We start from the raw sequence: 18845 nt of genomic DNA on the forward strand, positions 1-18845 counted from the left end.
GAGAAAGAGAAAAGAATCAAACTTTATCACTATAGAAAACCATGAAACTGCAATGATGAACAGTAAGAGAGGAACAAAGGATATACAAAACAACCAGAAAATAATTAACAATATGACATGAGTAAGACCTCACATATTAGTAATAACCTTAAATGTAAACAAATTAAATTTCTCACTTAAAATATATAGATTGGCTAACTGGATTTAAAAAAGAAAAATGACCCAGCTATATGCCACCTACAAGAAACTCATTTCACCTATAAAGACACATATAGACTGAAGTGAAAGAATGAAAGAAAATTATTCCATGCAAACAGAAAACAAAAGTGAGCAGGAATTGCTATATACTTATAAATTAAGTCAAAAGGTGCAAAAAGAGACAAAGAAGGTTATTATATAATGATAAAGGGTTCAATTTAGCAAGGGTATATAACAATTGTACATGTATCCGCACCCAACACTGGAGCACCCAGGTATATAAAACAAATATTAATAAATCTAAAGGGAGAAATGGCCTTCAATACAATAATAGTGGGGGATTCAACACCTATAGTCAACATTGGACAAATAATCTAGACAGAATATCAACAAAGAAGCATTACATTTAAACTATGCTTTAGATCAAATGAACCTAACAGATATTTACAGAACATTTTTATCCAATAGCTGTAGAATACACATTGTTCTCGTCAGCACATGGAATATTCTCTAGGATAAACCACGTATTAAGCCACAAAACAAGTTTCAAGAAATTTAAAAGAATTGAAATAATATCAAGTATCTTTTCTGACCACAATGAAATAAGACTGAAAATTAATAAAAAGAGGAACTTTCCAAATTGTACAAATACTTGGAAATTACGCCCCCCCCCCCACCTTTTTTTGAGACAGGGTTTCACTATGTCACCCAGCCTGGAGTGTAGTGGCATGATCACAACTCACTGCAGCCTTGATTTCCTGGGCTCAGGCGATTCTCCCACCTCAACCTCCCAAGTAGCTAGGACTACAGGTGCACACCACCACACCCAGCTAGTTTCTTGCAGTTTTTGTAGAGATGGATTTTTGCCATGTTGCCCTGGCTGGTCTCAAACTCCTAGGCTCAAGCAATCCACCCACCTGAGTCTCCCAAAGCACTGGGATTACAAGCATGAACCATTGAACCTGGCCAACACCACATTTTTGAATGACCAATGAGTCAATGAAGAAATTAAAAAAAAATTTATTGAAACAAATGAAAATAGAAGCACAACATACCAAAACATGGGATACAGCAAAAGAAGTGCTAAGAGGGAAGTTTATAGCAATAAACACCTACATGAAAAGATTAGAAAGATTTCAGATTAAAAAAAAAACAATGCATCTCAAGGAACTAGAAAAGCAGGAACGAACCAAACCAAAATTAGTAGAGGAAGAGAAAGAATAAAGATAAAACAGAAATAAAGGAATTTGAGACTAAAAAAATTACAAAAGATTAACAAAAGGTTGTTTTTTTTAAAAAAGATAAGCAAAGCTGACAAGCTATTAGCTAGATTAAGAAAAAAGTAAAAAGACCAAGTAAATAAAATAAAAAATGAAAAGGGAGAAATTACAACTGATAACTCAGAAATAAAAAGGACCATTAACCACTACTACGAACACCATATGCCAACAAATTGGAAAACCTAGCAGATATGGATAAATTTCTGGATGCATACCTCCTATCAAGATGGAACCAGGAAGAAATAGAAAACCAAAACAAACAATAATGAGTAATGAGATTGAATCAGTAATAAAAAACTCTCATCTAAGAAAATCCCAGGTCCTAAAATGGCTTCACTGCTGAGTTCTATCAAACATTTAAAGAAGAACTGATTCTCAAAATCTTCCAGAAAATTAAAGAGGAGGGAATTCTTCATTCATCTGATGGGGCCACCATTACCCTGATATCAAAACTGACAAAGATACAACAAAAAGGAAAACTGTAGGCCAATATCCCCATTGAATAGAAATGCAAAAATCCTAGGAAACCACATCCATCAGCACATTAAAAAGATCATTCACATGGTCAAGGGGAATGAATGCAAAGATAATGCAACATATGCAAAATAAACATGATACATCACATCAATAGAATGAAGTACCAAAAACTATATGATCATTTCAATGGATGCAGAAAAAAATATTTGACAAAATTCAAAATCCCTTCATAATAAAACCTCTCAAGAAACTAGGCATAGAAGAGTATACCTCAACACAATAAAGGCCATATCTGATGAACTCACAACTAAATTATACTGAATGGGTTCCTCTAAGAACAAAAATAAGACAAGGATGCCCACTCTCCTCACTCTTATTGAGCATAATACTGGAAGTCCAAGCAGGGCAATCAGGCAAGAAAAGAAATAAGGGGCATCCAGGCTGGTCATGGTGGCTCATGCCTGTAATCTCAGCACTTTGGAGGCCAAGGAGGGTGGATTGCTTGAGCTTAGGAGTTCAAGACTAGCCTGGGCAACATGATGAAACCCATCTCTACTAAAAATAAAAAAATTAACTTGGCTTGATGGCACATGACTGCAGTTCCAACTACTTGGGAAGCTGAGGTGGGAGGACTGCTTGAGCCTGGGAGTTTGAGCTACAGTGAGCTGTGAGCATGCTATTGCAGTCCAGCCTGGGTGAAAAAGTGAGACCCTGTCTCAAAAAAAAAAAAAAAAAAAAAAAGACCGGCATCCAAACTGGACAGGAGGAAGTCAAATAGTTCTTGTTTGCAGACATGATCTTACATATAGGAAAACACTAAAAGCTCAACCAAAAAACTCTTAGAACTAACTGATAAATAAATTAAGTTGCAGGATATGAAATTAATATATGAAAATTTATAGCCTTTCTATACAACAACAAACTAGCAGAAACAGAAATCTTGAAAGCAATCCCATTTTCAATAGCCAGCAAAAATTACCTAGGAAGAAATTTAATCAAGGAAATGAAAGATCTCTACAAGCCAATCTATAAAACACTAGTGAAGGAAATTGAAGATATTACAAAAGTGGAAAGACATTCCATGTTCATGGATTGGAACAATTAATACTGTGAAAATGACCATACTACCAAAAGTCAATGCAATCCCTATCAAAATACCACAGGAATTCTTCACAAAAATAGAGAAAAATTTAAAAAATTTGTATGGAACCACAAAAGCTCCAAAAAGCCAAAGAAATTCTGAGCAAAAAACCAAAGCTGGAGGCATCACATTACCGTATTCCAAAATATACTACAAAGCTGTAACAACCAAAACAGCATGGTACCGGCATAAAAACAGACACATAGACCAATGGAACAGAATAGAGAACTCAGAAATTAATCCACATATCTACAGCCAATTGATTTTTGACAACAACACCAAGAACACTCATTGGGGAAAGATCAGTGTCTTTAATAAGTGGTGCTGGGAAAATTGGATATCCATATACAGAAGACTAAAACTAGACTCCCAACTCTAACCCTATACAAAAATCAGCTCAAAATGTATCAAAGACCTAACGGTAATACTTAAAACTGTAAAACTCCCAGACAAAAACAGAGGAAACACTCCAGGATGTTGTTCTGGGCAAAGATTTTATGGAAAAGACTTCAAAAGCACAAGCAACAAAAGCAAAAATAGACAAATGGCACTATATGAAACTAAAAATCTTCTGCACAGCAAAATAAAAACAATCAACAGAGTGAAGAAACAACCCACAGAATGGGAGGAAATATTTGCAAACTATTCATTTGACAAGGGATTAATGTCCAGAATATCCAAGGAACTGAAATATTCAATAGCAGAAAAACAAATAATCTGATTTACAAATGGGCAAATGAGCTGAATAGATCCCTTTCAAAAGAAGACATACAAATGGGCAACAGATACATGAGAAAGTGCTCAACATCACTAATAATCAGGGAAATTCAAATCAAAACCACAATGAGATATGTTATCCCAGTTAGAATGGCTACTATAAAAAAGGCAAATATAACAGATGCTGGTGAGGATGTAGAGAAAGGAGAACTCCTACACACTGTTGGTGGAAATGTAAATTAGTACAGCTATTATGGAAAACAGTATGGAGATTTCTCAAAAAACTAAAAATAAAACTACTATATGTTCCAGCAATTGCACAGCTGGCTATATATTTAAAAGAAAGGATATCAGTATATTGGAAAGATATTTGCACACCCATATACGTTGCAGCACTATTTACAATAGCCAAGATATGGAATCAACCTAATGGCTGAATAAAGAAAATGTGGTAGATAGAGACAATGAAATATTATTCAGTCATAAAAAAGAATGAAATCATGTCATTTGCAGCAATACAGAACTGGAGGTCAATAAGTTAAATAAAATAAGCCAGGCACAGGAGGATAATGAATTGCATGTTCACACTCATGTGGGAGCTAAAGAAGCTGATTTCATGGAGGTAGGAGGTATAATGATGATTACCGGAAGCTCAGAAGGAGGAATGAAGAGAGGCTGGTTAACGGATATTGAAATGGGAGATCACCCTTATTCTCCTTGCAGGGCGTGTGACAGGGTTGTGGCTCACTTCTTTGGTGCCCTGCTGCTTAAACCCCTAGGAAGGGCAATGCAGACGGGGTGGGTGCAGAGGTCGCAGGGAGCTCCTTTGGGCTCTGACCTCATGGCAGAGTCTGGGGTGAGTGTTTACGATTCTGGAAGCCCAAGTGGGCATGTGTTACAGTGTGCTCCTTCAGCTTCGCTGTCTGCAGACAGCTTACGTTAATTGGCTCAATTAGACCCTCTGCCTTATCGCAAGGGCAGAGGGTTTTCTCTACCCTGAGTTCTTGCCCAGTGTACCAGGAACATTGGATCTTGGAGGATGAGTGCAAGGTTTTATTTATTTATTTATTTATTTATTTATTTATTTATTTATTTATTTATTTATTGAGACGGAGTCTCGCTCTGTCACCCAGGCTGGAGTGCAGTGGCGTGATCTCGGCTCACTGCAAGCTCCGCCTCTCGGGTTCACGCCATTCTCCTGCCTCAGCCTCCCAAGTAGCTGGGATTACAGGTGCTCGCTGCCACGTCCGGCTAATTTTTTGTATTTTTAGTAGAGACGGGGTTTCACTGCTTTCCCCAGGCTGGTCTCTAACTCCTGAGCTCAGGCAATCCACCCGCCTCGGCCTCCCAAAATGCTAGGATTACAGGCGTGAGCCACCGCGCCGGCCGCAAGGTTTTATTGAGTGGTGGAGGTGGCTCTCAGCGAGATGAGTGGGGAGCTAGAGGGGGATGGAGTGGAAGGCAGTCTTCCCCTGGAGTCGCGCTGCCCAGCAGCCGGACTTTTCTCCGACCACCCCTGGCCGAATTCCCCTCGATGGCTGCGTCGTTCCACCATCGCTGGTCTGCCAGTATCTGCTGGTGTCTCCTGGTTGGTCCCTTTGCTCCTCTTGACGTCCAGCCTCTGTGTCTGTGCCAGCTAAAGCCTCGGGTTTTTATGGGCACAGGATGGGAGAGTGGCTGGCCAGAGTGGTCTTGGAAAATGGAACCTTTGGGCGTGAAAACAGGAGTGCCTGTTCTCACTTAGGCCCGTGGGCACAGGCCCGAGGGTGAAGCCCTCACCAGCGACTCCGCTCTTCTGTACCCAGCACTTCCCTGCCCTCCTCCCACATCAGTATTAAAATACAGTTAGAGTAAGGAGCAGTAGCTCGAGCCTGTAATCTCAGCTACTTGGCAGGATAAGGTGAGAAGATAGTTTGAGTCCAGGAGTTTATGACAAGCCTGGGCAACATAATGAGACCCCATCTCTTAAAAAAAATTAAAAATACAGTCAAATAGAAGGAACAGGTTTCAGTGTTCAATAGCACAGTTGGGTGACCATACTTAAAAATAATCTTTTGTATATTTTAAAATAGCTAGCAGAGATTAGGAATGTACCCAACACAAAGAAATGATTAATGTTTGGGGTGATGGATATCCCAGTTACCCTGATTTGATCATTACAAGTTGTATGCATGTATCTGTGTCACATGGACCCCACAAATATGTATAATTATTGTGCGTGAATTAAAAATTTCAGTGCATGTTGCAAGTGAAATTTTTAAACCATGAGTTTTTCAGATGAGTCATCCTTTCTTGCCTTAAGACCAACATCTTATTCTTCAGAGGCTCTATAATTCACTACTATGCCAAGCCTAAAAGGACTAGTGGATACTTCTATGACGTCTATGCAGATAGTTTAAAAAAAGAAGTGTTCCAATATACGTGAATCAATGCAACTGTCTCCATGTATAAAACTTTGCACATCACTGGTGAGAATGAAGGGAAGATAATTGATTTGGATCAATACATCTACTTCATCCAACTTCAAGAAGAACTGTTTTGAGTCCAGCTCCAACCAAATGCCTCCACCCTAACTTAATGCAGGGGCAAGAAGGCACTTCTTACTTTCCTGAAGTTACAGTGGGTTCAAATGACAGAAGTTAAATACCTACTTTGAAATCTGGAAGATGTCACTGGAGCTTATGAATACTCTATTGTTGACTTAAAAATTATATGTGGGCTGAGTGTGGTGGCTCACAGCTGTAATCCCAGCACTTTGGGAGAATGAGGTGGGAGGATCACTTGAGGCCAGGAGTTTGAGACCAGCCTGGGCAACACAGCAAGCCCCTGTCTCTAAAAAAAAAAAAAAAAAAAAAATTTAGCCTGGTGTGGTGGCACGGGTCCGTAGTCTCAGCTACTCTAGAGGCTGAGATGAGAGGATTGCTTGAGTTCTGGAGATCAAGGCTGCAGTAAGCAGTGATTGCACCGCTGCATTCCAGCCTGGGTGACAGAATGAGACCATGTCTCAAAAATAATTTTTTTTTTTTTGCAAATACAGTCACTTGTATCACTAAGCAAGTTTCATTTTGCTGCTTCTCAGTTATTCAACACCCTCCCCTTTTAATTCCAGGCTATCCATCTCTAGATTAGTCTTCTAGTTTCAAATGAATGGAATCCTACAGCATGAACTCTTGTTTCTCGCTTCTTTCATGCAGCACATTTTTGTGACTTAAACATATTGTATCAATAGCTCATTCTTATCTATTGCTGAGTAATATCCTATTTTCTGGATATACCACAGTTCCTTATCCGTTCATCAGTTGACAAACATTTGGGTTGTTTCCAGTTATTGGCTACTATGAATAAATTTGATATTAACATTCCCCTGCAAGTCTTCATGTGGACGTATGTTTTCATTCCTGTCAAGTAAATACCTAGGAATGTAATGGTTGGGAGTTATGCAAGGTGTGTATTTAACTTTTTATGAAACTGCCAAACTGTTTTTTCCAAAGTGGCTATATCATTTTACATTTTCTTTTTCTTTCTTTTCTTTTTTTTTTTTTTTTTGAAATGGAGTTTTGCTCTTGTTGCACAGGCTAGAGTGCAATGGCGCGATCTTGGCTCACTGCAACCTCCTCCGGGGTTTAAGAGATTCTCCTGCCTCCACTTCCCTAGGAGCTGGGATTACAGGTGCGTGCCACCACGCCCAGCAAAGTTTTGTATTTTTAGTAGAGACAGGGTTTCACCACCTTGGCCAGGCCAGTCTCGAACTTCTGACCTCAGATAATCTGCCCTTCTTGGCCTCTCAAAGTGCTGGGATTACACGCATGAGCCACCGTGCCTGGCCTCATTTTACATTTTCACTAGCAGTGTATGTGAGCTTCCCCTGCACCACATTCTCAAGTCTTTAACTTGAGTCATTTCAAGTATGTCAGCTGTAGGTTTATTTGTTTATTACTGTTTTAGATGAACTTTACCAGATTGAGGCATTTCCTTTCTATTCCCAGTTGGCAGATATTTTATGAGAAACAGAGGTTGAATCTTCTCAAATGTTTTTACTGCATTTATTAAGATAATCATATGGTTTTTCTTTTTTAGTCTGTTAATATGATGAGTTGCATTGATTGATTTTCAAATGTAAATTCATCCTGCATTCCTGGCCTATCTGCCATTTGGTTATGATGAATTGTTCTTTTTATATATTTTTGGGTTTGACTTGCTAAAATTTTGATAAACATTCTTTCATCAAGCATAACACATACAATTATGTACAGCACATACTACTTGATAATGATAATAAATGACTCTGTTACTGATTATTTACTATACTAAAAATAAAATATTTTTCAGTCAGGATCTTGCTCTATCACCCAGTGGGGAGTGCAGTGGCACAATCACACCAGCCTCAATCTCCTGGGCTCAAGCAATCCTCCTGCCTCAGCCTCCCAAGTAGTTGGGACTATAGGTGCATGCCACCATGCCCAGCTAGTTACACAATTTTTTTGTGGAGATAATGGTCTCCCTGTGTTGCCCAGGCTGGTCTCAAACTCCTGGGCTCAAGTGATCCTCCCACCTCGGCCTCCCAAAGTGCTGGGATTACAGACATGACTGTGCTTGGCTGAAAAAAAATTTTTTTCATAAATGTTCACGAGGTGTATGAGGCTGTAGTACTCTTTTCTTATAATTCTCCCACCCCTCTTTTTTTTTTTAGCTTTGGGAACAGTCAATGTTGCACTCTTAGAACAAGTGGGAAAATGTTCCCTGCAGGCCTCTATTTTGGAACAGCTTGTGTGGAATTGGTACTATTTCTTCAAGAAATGTTTGGTAGAATTAATCATTGAAGCCATCTGGGCCCAAAGTTTTCTTTATGGGAAGGTTTTAAACTAAAATTGAATTTTATAATTAGATATAGGGCTCTACAGATTTTTTGTATCTTCTTGGATGAACTTTGGTAGTGTTATGGACTGAATGTTTGTGACTCTTCAAAATTCATGTTGAAGCCCTAACCCCCAGTGTAGCTGTATTTGGAGATGGGGCCTCTATGAAAGTTAAATAAGATCCTAAGTGTGGGACCCTGATCCTCTAGGATTAGTGCCTTTGTGTGCTTGTAAGAAGAGACAACACAGAACATTCCCCCATCCTCCCATTGCACCACTGAGGAAAGGCCATGTGAGAATGTAGCGAGAGGGTGACTATCCACAAGGCAAGAAGAGAGCCCTCGCCAGAAACCAAATCAGCCAGAACCATGATCTTGGACTTTCAGCCTCCAGGACTATGAGGAAATAGATTTCTGTTGTTTATGCCACCCAGTCTATGGTATTTTGTTATGGCAGCCCAAGCCGACTAATATAGGCAGCTTTCTTTTCAAGAAATTTGAACATTTTTAATAAATTGTCAAATATATCGGCATAGATAGTTCACAACATTCTTATTATCCATTTAACGTCTTTTAGAGCTGTCACTTGGCCTCTCTCATTTCTGACATTTAAAATTTATGTATTAAGCACTTTTTAGTCTAGCTAGAGATTTATCAATTTCATTAATGTTCTTAAGAATTAGCTTTTGGCTTCTCTCATTTTCTGTTTACATTTCATTGGTTTCTCTGCTTTTTTTAAAAAACCGTTTCCTCTTTTCTATTTTATATTTAACCTGTTTTCTTCTGGTTTTTTAAGGTGGAAGTTTAAGTTATTGAATTGCTTCTTTTACAATGTGTCTAATGTTATAAATTTCACTCCTAAGCTCTGTCTTAGACACATTCCACAAATTTAGATATGTCACATTTAAATTTTCAATCAGTTCAAAATATTTTCTAATTTTGGCTGTGATTTCTCATTTCATCCGTGAGTTATTTAGAAATGTGTTTAGTTTCCAAATTTGTAAAGCTTTTCCAGAAATCTTTTTAAAAAATGGATTTAATTCCATTGAGACCAGAAAACATACTTTGTATGATTTGAATCATTTAAAATATCTTGATAGGTTATTAATGTCCAAACTATGGTTTATCTTAGTAAATGTACCATGTACACATGAAAATATTGTTTGTTTTACATGAAATGTTTTATAAATGTCAGTTGGGCTTAGTTCACTATTTTCTTCCGAGTAGCTGATTTGCTATTTGTTATACATGCATTTTTCATCTATAGAACTTCTACTTGGTATATATACATAAAATCTGACATGCCTTTCTTCTTCATGTTCATGCTTTCCTCTACCTTTAGAAAATGTACAATTGCCCATCAATATCTGTGGGTTATTGGTTCCAGGACCCTGTGGATACCAAACTCCATGGTGCTGAAGTCCCTTACTAAAACGGCATAGTATTTGCATATAACCTATGCATATCCTCCTGTTTATCTTAAATCATCTCTAGACTACTTATAATACTTAATACAATGTAAATGCTATGTAAATAGTTGTTACACTGTATTGCCTTTAAAATTTGTATTTTTAATTGTTGCATTCTTAAGTTCCGGGATACATGTCCAAAACATGCGTATTTGTTATATAGGTATGCATGTGCCATGGTGGTTTGCTGCTCCTATCAACCCATCATCTAGGTTTTAAGCCCTACATGCATTAGGTATTTGTCCTAAAGCTCTCCCTCCCCTTGCCCTCCCCCCCGCAACAGGCCCCAGTGTGTGATGTCCCCTCCCTGTGTTCATGTGTCCTCATTGTTCAACTTCCACTAATGAGTGAGAACATGTGGTGTTTGGTTTTCTGTTCCTGTTAGTTTGCTGAGGATGATGGCTTCCAGTTCTATCCATGTCCCTGCAAACGACATGATCTCATTCTTTTTTTATGGCTGCGTAGTATTCTACAGTGTATATGTACCACATTTTCTTTATCCAGTCTGTCATTGGTGGGCATTTGAGTTATTCCATGTCTTTGCTATTGTAAATAGTGCTGCAATAAACATACGTATGCATGTATCTTTGTAGTAGAATGATTTATATTCCTTTGAGTATATACTCAGTAATGGGATTGCTGGGTCATATGGTATTTCTGGTTCTAGGTCCTATTTTTGTTTCAAATATTTTTTGATCTGCAGTTGGTTGAATCTACGGATTTGGAACCTCCAGATAGAAAGAGCCACTGTGTAGAGTATATTTTAGCTGTGTCGTTGACTGCTAACTATATTATCTGTATGATTTCTGCAGTTTTCACTGACAGATTTTTCTCCCTGAGTCAATTTTCCTGCATGTTTGCATGCCTAGCTTTTAAGCTGTTAGGCAAGACCAGAATAGCCTTTATCTAGGGATAATTTGGCTCCACTAATGATACATGCAATACCTTCTGTTTCCTATGCCTCAGGTGTTAGGTCTTTCTAGTCAGGCTGGTGGAAATACAAACTATTCTTGACCCCGTTTCATACTGAAGGATTATTCTGCTGCTCTATTCTAGTGGTTTCCACCACTCTTAGGTCGTTTCCTCATGTGCTGCACTCGTCAGTATTCAGCTGAAGACATAAGAAGAAACCCTGTGCGGATCTCTGGAGCTCTTTCTCGCCTGTGCAGTGCTCTCCTTTCTCCTCTCTGCCTTGCAAATTCTGGCTGTTTTCGCCTCTGTAAATTCTGCCTCCTTGATTTAGGGAAACTCCTGGGCTTTGTTTGGGTCTGTCCCCTCACTTCGACCTACCTCATGCTGTTTCTGTGCTGCAAACTTGGGGAATCACAGAGCTTACCTTGTTGGTTTCCCTTCTTTCATGGCACTGTCCTTTGCTGTCTGTTGCTATTTGAAACCCATTGGTTCATGCATTTTGTCTGGTGTTCCAGGTTAGAAGTAAATCCACTTTCTTTTCTTCATCATGGGCAGAAGTGTGAGTCAGACTTCATTTCTTTTCCTTTTTTTTTTTTTTTTTTTTTTTTTTTTTGAGATGGAGTTTCGCTCTTGCTGCTCAGGCTGGAGAGCAATGGCACGATCAGGGCTCACTGCAACCTCCGCCTCCCGGGTTCAAGCGATTCTCCTGCCTCAGCCTCCCGAGTAGCTGGGATTACAGGCATGCACCACCATGCCCGGCTAATTTTGTATTTTTAGTAGAGATGGGGTTTCTGCATGTTGGTCAGGCTGGTCTCGAACTCCCGACCTCAGGTGATCCACCCGCCTCTGCCTCCCAAAGTGCTGGGATTACAGGGGTGAGCCACCATGCCCAGCCCATTTCTTCATTCTTAAAACATAGTTTTGCTAAGTCTATACAGATGACCCTTGAACAACTTGGGGATTTGGGCATCAACTCCTTGCACATTTGAAAATCCTTGTATAACTTTTGACTTGCTCCCAAATTTTACTAATAGCCTGCTGTTGACTGGAAGCCTTAGTCAATTAACACATATTCTGTATGCTTGCTATATACTGTATTCTTAAAGTAAGCTGGAGAAAAGAAAATGTTATTAATAAAATCAGGCCAGGCACTGTGGCTCATGCCTATAATCCCAACACTTTGGGAGCAGGAGGACTGCTTGAGGCCAGGAGTTCAAGACTAGCCTGGACAACACAGCAAAACCCCATCTCTAATAAAAAAATCAGCTGGCGTGGTGGCACGTGCTTATAGTTCTAGATACTCAGGAGGGTGAGGAGGCTTGCTTGAGCTCAGGAATTTGAGGCTGAAGTGAGCTATAATTATGTGCCACTGCACTCCAGCCTGAGCAAGAGAGTGAGACCCTGTCTCTAAAAAAAGAAAAAGAAAATCAGAAGGAAGAGTAAATATATTTGCTATTCATGAGGTGGAAGTGGATCATTATAAAAGTCTTTGTCCCTGTCATCAGGTTGAGTAGGCTGAGGAGGAGGAGGAAGGGGAGAGATTGGTCTTACTTTTCGGGGGTGACAGAGACCGAAGAAAATCCACAAAGTGGACCCACAAGCTGGGCTCATGCCTCTAATCCCAACTACTCAGGAGGCTGAGGTGGGAGGATCACTTGAGGACAGGAGTTCAAGACCAGCCTGGGCAACACAGCGAGATTGACTCCAAAAAGAAAAAAAAAAGTGGAACCATGCAGCTCAAATCCATATCATTCAAGGGTCAATTGTAAGCCTGGAACAATTATTTTCTATCCATTGGAGGTATCATTCCACTGCTTCATTACTACTGTTGAGAAGCCAGCTGTCAGTCTTGGGCATTTTCTTGAAGACAGTATAACTTTCAATCCTTGGCTTATTTTAAGATTTTTTTCATTGATTTCCCAGTTGCACTTGAGAGACTAGTTGCATATTTCTTTTACTTTATTCTGCTTGAAATTCACTGGGCTTCTTCAGTCTGTGGATTGATGTCTTCAATTGTTCTCAAAAGCTCTCAGCCTTTATTTCCTCAAATAACTTTACCTCGTTCTCTGTCTCTGGAACTCTAGTCAAATACTCATTACAACTTCTCACTGAATCTTTGTCTCTTCTCTTCTGTACTGTTTTTCTCTCTTGGTGCTATGCTATGGGTAATTTTTTCTAGTTCTCTCTTCTGCCATGAAGTTTGCTGCTAAGAATGTCCACTGAGTTTTAAAATTTTGGTTATTGTATTTTTCATGTATATAAATTATATTTTATCTTTGAATTTGTATCCCTTTTTAGTTTCTTTCCCTACAAATATTTTCAAGTTCACTGATCATTTTTTAAACACAATAAGCATAGTTGTTTAATAATATATCTCATAATTCTATATCTAAAGCATGTGCAGAGCTTGATTTCTTGTGCACTATTTTATTTTTCACCCCATGTCCATCATTCCTCCTGAAAATTTATTTACAGTGCTTTGCAAAACACCTAATTAATGTGTCTTCCTTCAGAGAGGTACTGGAATGGCTTCTGCCAGGTTCAGGGGGACACTAGTGGTTGGGAACTACTCAAATTATGTGAAATCTAAAGGTCCTTCGTTCACCCAGGCTTTTGTGCTCAAGGCATACACACACAGAAAAAAACCATCTGAAGGCTGATATGTGGCCACAACTTATCTGGCTTTTCTGTCCCTTTCCCTTCTTACAGTCCCTAATTTGGGGTTGGGTTTAGTTTTAGCTCTCCCTTAGTGTGAAGATGTAACTCTTTGGGGTTTCCTATGGGATTCTCCAATTAGGATGGTCCTTGACCTTACCTTTCATCCTTTTTGCCCCATGAGCCCACTATATCAAAGTGTGAGGTATTGGACATGCTTTCAGGTCAAAAGTGGCTTTTTCCCCTACAATATTCTACTTATTTCTCTGAGTTGGGCCTTCTTCAAAGCTTTGGTCTTGCAATTCATCATCTTTTTACCTCTTGTGCATGTTTTTAGGTGTATAACAAACACACACACACTCTTCAAAGATCCATCATCAATCAAGTGATAAGCATTAGAATATGTGTTAATTTACGGGGAAAAACCCCGACTTTAACCTCTCTGCTGAGAAGTTTTAAAATGGTAAGTAGAATGGTGTGTTATTCCCAGAATAGGAAATATCAGTATATATATTCTTTAAGTGATGGAATCTTGCTCTGTTGCCCAGGCAGGAGAGCAGTGGCATGACCATAGCTCACTGTAGCCTTGAACTCGTGGGCTCAAGAAATCCTCCTGCTTCAGCCTGCCAAGTACCTGGGACTACAGGTGCACACCACTGCGTCCAGCTAATTTTGTTTTTTTGTAGAGGTGAGGTCTCACTAAGTTGCCCAGGCTGGTCTTATACTCCTGGCTTCAAGTGATCCTCCCACCTCTGCCTCCCAACGTGCTGGGATTACAGGTGTGAGCCAGTGTGCCTGGCCTGTAGAATTCTTAATGCATTAATGCCAGGTGTACTATTTTCTATCAAAAAAATTTTTTTTTGAGACAGAGTCTCACTCTGTCGCCCAGGCTGGAGTGCAGTGGCACAATGTTGGCTCACTGCAACCTCCACCTCCTGGATTCAAGCAATTCTCTGCCTCAGCCTCCTGAGTAGCTGGGATTACAGGTCCCCAGTACCACGCCCAGCTAATTTTTGTATTTTTAGTAGAGATGGGGTTTCACCATCTTGGCCAGGCTGGTCTTGAACTCCTGACCTCATGATTCACCTGCCTCGGCCTCCCAAATTCCTATCAAATTTATTCTTTTTGGTTCTCTGGGGGAGATAAGAATGTGCAACTAATAACAGTGTAAGACCTAGAAACTGCTCTGACCCTGACCCTTTACACAAGTGACTTAATTTCATGTTCAATATCCTTGCATGTTAAATGCAGAAAAGACAAAGTTATCCTGATAGCCCATTTAATGCTAACATTTATTAATCTACAGATGCTTCCACATGTCAATTCCAACACTTATAATAGACCTTACTGAAAAATAGCCCTTTTCCTCACTGGCATAATCTTTCCATAACAACACTCCAGAGTCACACACTGCTAATCGACTGGAGATGGCACAAATCTTATTGATCATCCTTATTCCTGCACATATATAACATCTTTTGAAATATGGCTAAAACAATTTTTTTCTACCATATTATACCCTTTTCTAATAGTTGTAATAGTTTAAGAATTAATACACAACCTCCCCAAAATCATGCCCATCTTTCAGGATTGTAAAGAATTAAAATATTGAATTCATTTTCTTCCATTATGAAGAAAGAAATCATCAGGTACAAAACCAACAAAAGTATTATCAGCTTGATGTAAAAGCCTTCTATTGAGAAAAGTAAAATAATAAATAAAAGACAATTGATATACTTCAGGTAGATAATAAAAATTTAATAGCAATATCATAAAATAAACACACATATTAAAAAATCAAGTATTTAGTTTCGGATATTAGAAATAATATACATAATAAATTCAACATACTGATAGTGCTGCAAGATAAGATTTTATTTTTCAAATTACATATTATGCCAACCAGCCTGCTTTGGACTCAGAGGTTCAAAAACTTTGCTTTTATTACGAAGAACATCTGGACTGTAGACACCTCTAACGAAACCAGGTTATACTTGGCATATTGTGATTGAAGCTGTGTGATCAACATCTTAATGACCTAACTAAATCCTCTCATAACAGAAAGAAGTTCAACAGGCAAACATTTCCCTCCCTAGGATCCTAGTTACCAAAACTGTCACAGTGTCAAAATAAAAATAATTATTTCCTCCTTTTTAACATCTTATTGTCCTTGAAGCTTATGTATGGAGGAAGTTAAAAACCAAAAGAGCAACTTTAAGCTATATGCTAAGTCAGTGTTAAATCCACAGACTAATTTTTCGATATAGTATTCCTGGTTCTGGTCCTTAAAGAGAAATAAAGGCATTAAACCAACTTTTTATATGTCAAGAAATATAATTTTGCTATTCTTTCATAATCAAATCTTTCAATGATTTCTAAGACTGTTTCTACAGCCTGTGTGCTAGTTCAGGAGACACACTGATTGTAAAAGGACTTGAGAATATAAACTTTAAGGCTAAAAATTTCATCTTCAAAATGTATAGATGTAAACAGAGCCCTTGACAAGGTGATTTAATGTAGAACTGCTGGCCAGAATGAAAACAAGTACTAGACAGAAAAAAGATCATGCTTAAAGACTCCATTGAAAAACCACAGACAGGTCCTTCATGACATAGGTAATTCCTTCAACCTAAAGACATTTGCTGAAACTCAAAGTTACCCTATTGCATAGTAAATCTTCAAAACCATTAAGTCAGGTTCTGGGTCAATGTTTCCTATGCTTTGGTTGGATGATTTAATAAAGTATATATTTTATGAGATTTAACCATGGAATTCAATGAACAAAATAGATAAAATATTAGAATCTTCACTGAAAAATGGCATGTTTCTCCATCTTTTTCATGCAATAAGAAAGTCCATCTTAAATCTGATTTTTTAAATAAATAATTGCTGTATTTCCCACTGAAGCTTGTTATTCTGATAAGCCAAATTCAAATGCTTTCATATAGTTGAGGATTAAAAAACATTTTGAGGATTATTCATCATTATCTGTAGAAAAAAGAAAAAAATTGACTTCATTTCAAATCAAGCTGTATCTACTTTAAAAAAAACCCATTCTTGTTCATGCTAAAGGAGAAGAGCTTTAATGTAGTTTTAAACATACTTTTAAAATTATTTTATCACACATTCCTTGTAAAATATTCAGACAATACAATGAAGAATAAAATGGGAAGCAAAAATCATCTGTAAGTGAAAGACAACCAATGTTAACTTTATATAAATCCTCCCACAATGCTTTCCTATGCATACACAAATATCTTTTAAAAATTACACTAAAATGCAGTTTTGAAACATAGGTTTTCCACTGAAAACACCCTAGTGAATGGAAAGGTGGATACATAAGTGATAATGTAAGATTAGAAAATGCTAATGTTAGAATCTAGGTGGTGGGTGCATGGGTGATCACTGTAAAGTTCTTTCAGATTTTCAATATGATAAAAATTTGACAATAAAATGTTAAAGAATAAATCATGGATATATTCTATGTTGACTTCAATGTCTGCAGAGTATTCTGTTTAATGGATATGACATAACTAACCATTACTATTTATAGACATTTTTGTTATTTTCAATTTTTTTAATTCTAAAGATTATAATCAAGTGAATTAAACAGACTGGTTAACTTAATCTTATATGCAAGCACTATCTTCCACATTCTAGCAAAAGTGATCTTTCATTAAAATCCAAGGGTCATGTCAAATCACTGCACTGCTTAAAACATTTGTTAGCTCCCTGCTGCCTCAAAATGGAATCCACGCTCCTTAACGTGGATTACAAAGCCCTTCATGATCTGGCCTTTTAAATATTTCTCATCTTACCAAATTTCATTCCCCACCTTCCTTAACTGCCCCTATAATTTATGCTTTAGGAACACTGAATTGCTTATAGTTTCCCTACTACATTTTGCATACTTCCATGTATGAGTACTTATTTGCATTAAATTCCCATTTGTCTTTCAGAATCCAACTTTGATGTCCTCTCCCCTAGGAAGACCTATCCTGTCACCATCAATGTAGTTGGATCATTACTTTATAACTTACATACATTTTATTGCTTCCAAGGTAACACTTATCACTGGACTATAATTTACTTACTTTTCAAATAATCAGGAAAGTAATGAACACACATATCCATAATATGTAGAATTAACAAAAGCTAACTTTTGGCCATAGTGGTTTGGATTATTTAAGTAAAACCATATTACAGATGCAGAGTACCCTTTCTCAATCTTACTGCCTTCCTTTCTTCCCCAGGGGCATTTTCAGTACTCTGAAATTGATGTGTATTCTTCCCGCTCATGGTTTTTGCTTTTATTTTTATTACGTACATGCACATCTAAATAAAATTGTTTAGAAACACTACATAAATGGTGTAATATTCTACTTATTCAACTCATCATGTTTGTGGGGCTTATCCATATTGACAGTCGGAATTTAATTCATTCATTTTAGCCGATGTATACAATTTCATTACATAAACGCAGCCCAATATTCCACCTAAAATGAATATGAAGAGAAGGTATGTGTCTCTTTCTTAAGAGTCTATAATGGCCAGGCATAGTGGCTCATGCCTGTAATCCCAGCACTTTGGGAGACCGAGGCAGACAGATCACCTGAGGTCAGGAGTTTGAGACCAGCCTGGCCAACATGGTGAAACCCTGTCTCTACTAAAAATACAAAAATTAGCTGGGTGTGGTGGCACATGCCTGTAATGCCAGCTACTTGGGAGGGTGAGACAGGAGAATTGCTTGAACCTGGGAGGCAGAGGTTGCAGTGAGCCGAGATCATGTCACTGTACTCCAGCCTGGGCGACAGAGCAAGACTCCATCTCAAAAAAAAAAAAAAAAAAAAAAAAAAAAAAAGAAGAATCTATAAACTTGGGCCGCTAATGCTAATACTCAATGTGAGAACATGGTAGCCTCTGCCAGGTTGCCACTGGCCACAGCTGTTATACTCCTCTCCTTGTGGAAGAATTTATTAGGAATACTATCAAATCGCTTACACATTTTATTAGCTCTATTTGACTTCTGACTCTGGATAGTATCTAGCTATGGAAAAAAAAGCATTAACTTTATCAACGGCTGAAGATATTGACGCTTACCAAACCTGCACCATAACAGTATCAGGAGAGTTAAATAGCTG

General features: G+C 38.2%; 1 protein-coding gene across 21 annotated transcripts in view; it reads right to left on the minus strand.

Moving 5' to 3' along the window:
• NEK1 (NIMA related kinase 1) overlaps positions 14978–18845 on the minus strand; it is a 219775-nt gene continuing 215907 nt past the window's right edge. For all 21 annotated transcript variants that reach the window (NR_164630.1, NM_001440625.1, NM_001440624.1 and 18 more), the window contains one exon: positions 14978–16692. Coding sequence is in view for 20 of the 21 variants with exons in the window: in NM_001440625.1 (NP_001427554.1) it covers positions 16679–16692 (14 nt within the window). In the remaining variant the exon portion in view is untranslated. The remainder of the gene's footprint in view (positions 16693–18845) is intronic.

The sequence above is a fragment of the Homo sapiens genome, chromosome 4, assembly GCF_000001405.40.
Source record: "Homo sapiens chromosome 4, GRCh38.p14 Primary Assembly".
NCBI lineage: Eukaryota > Metazoa > Chordata > Mammalia > Primates > Hominidae > Homo > Homo sapiens.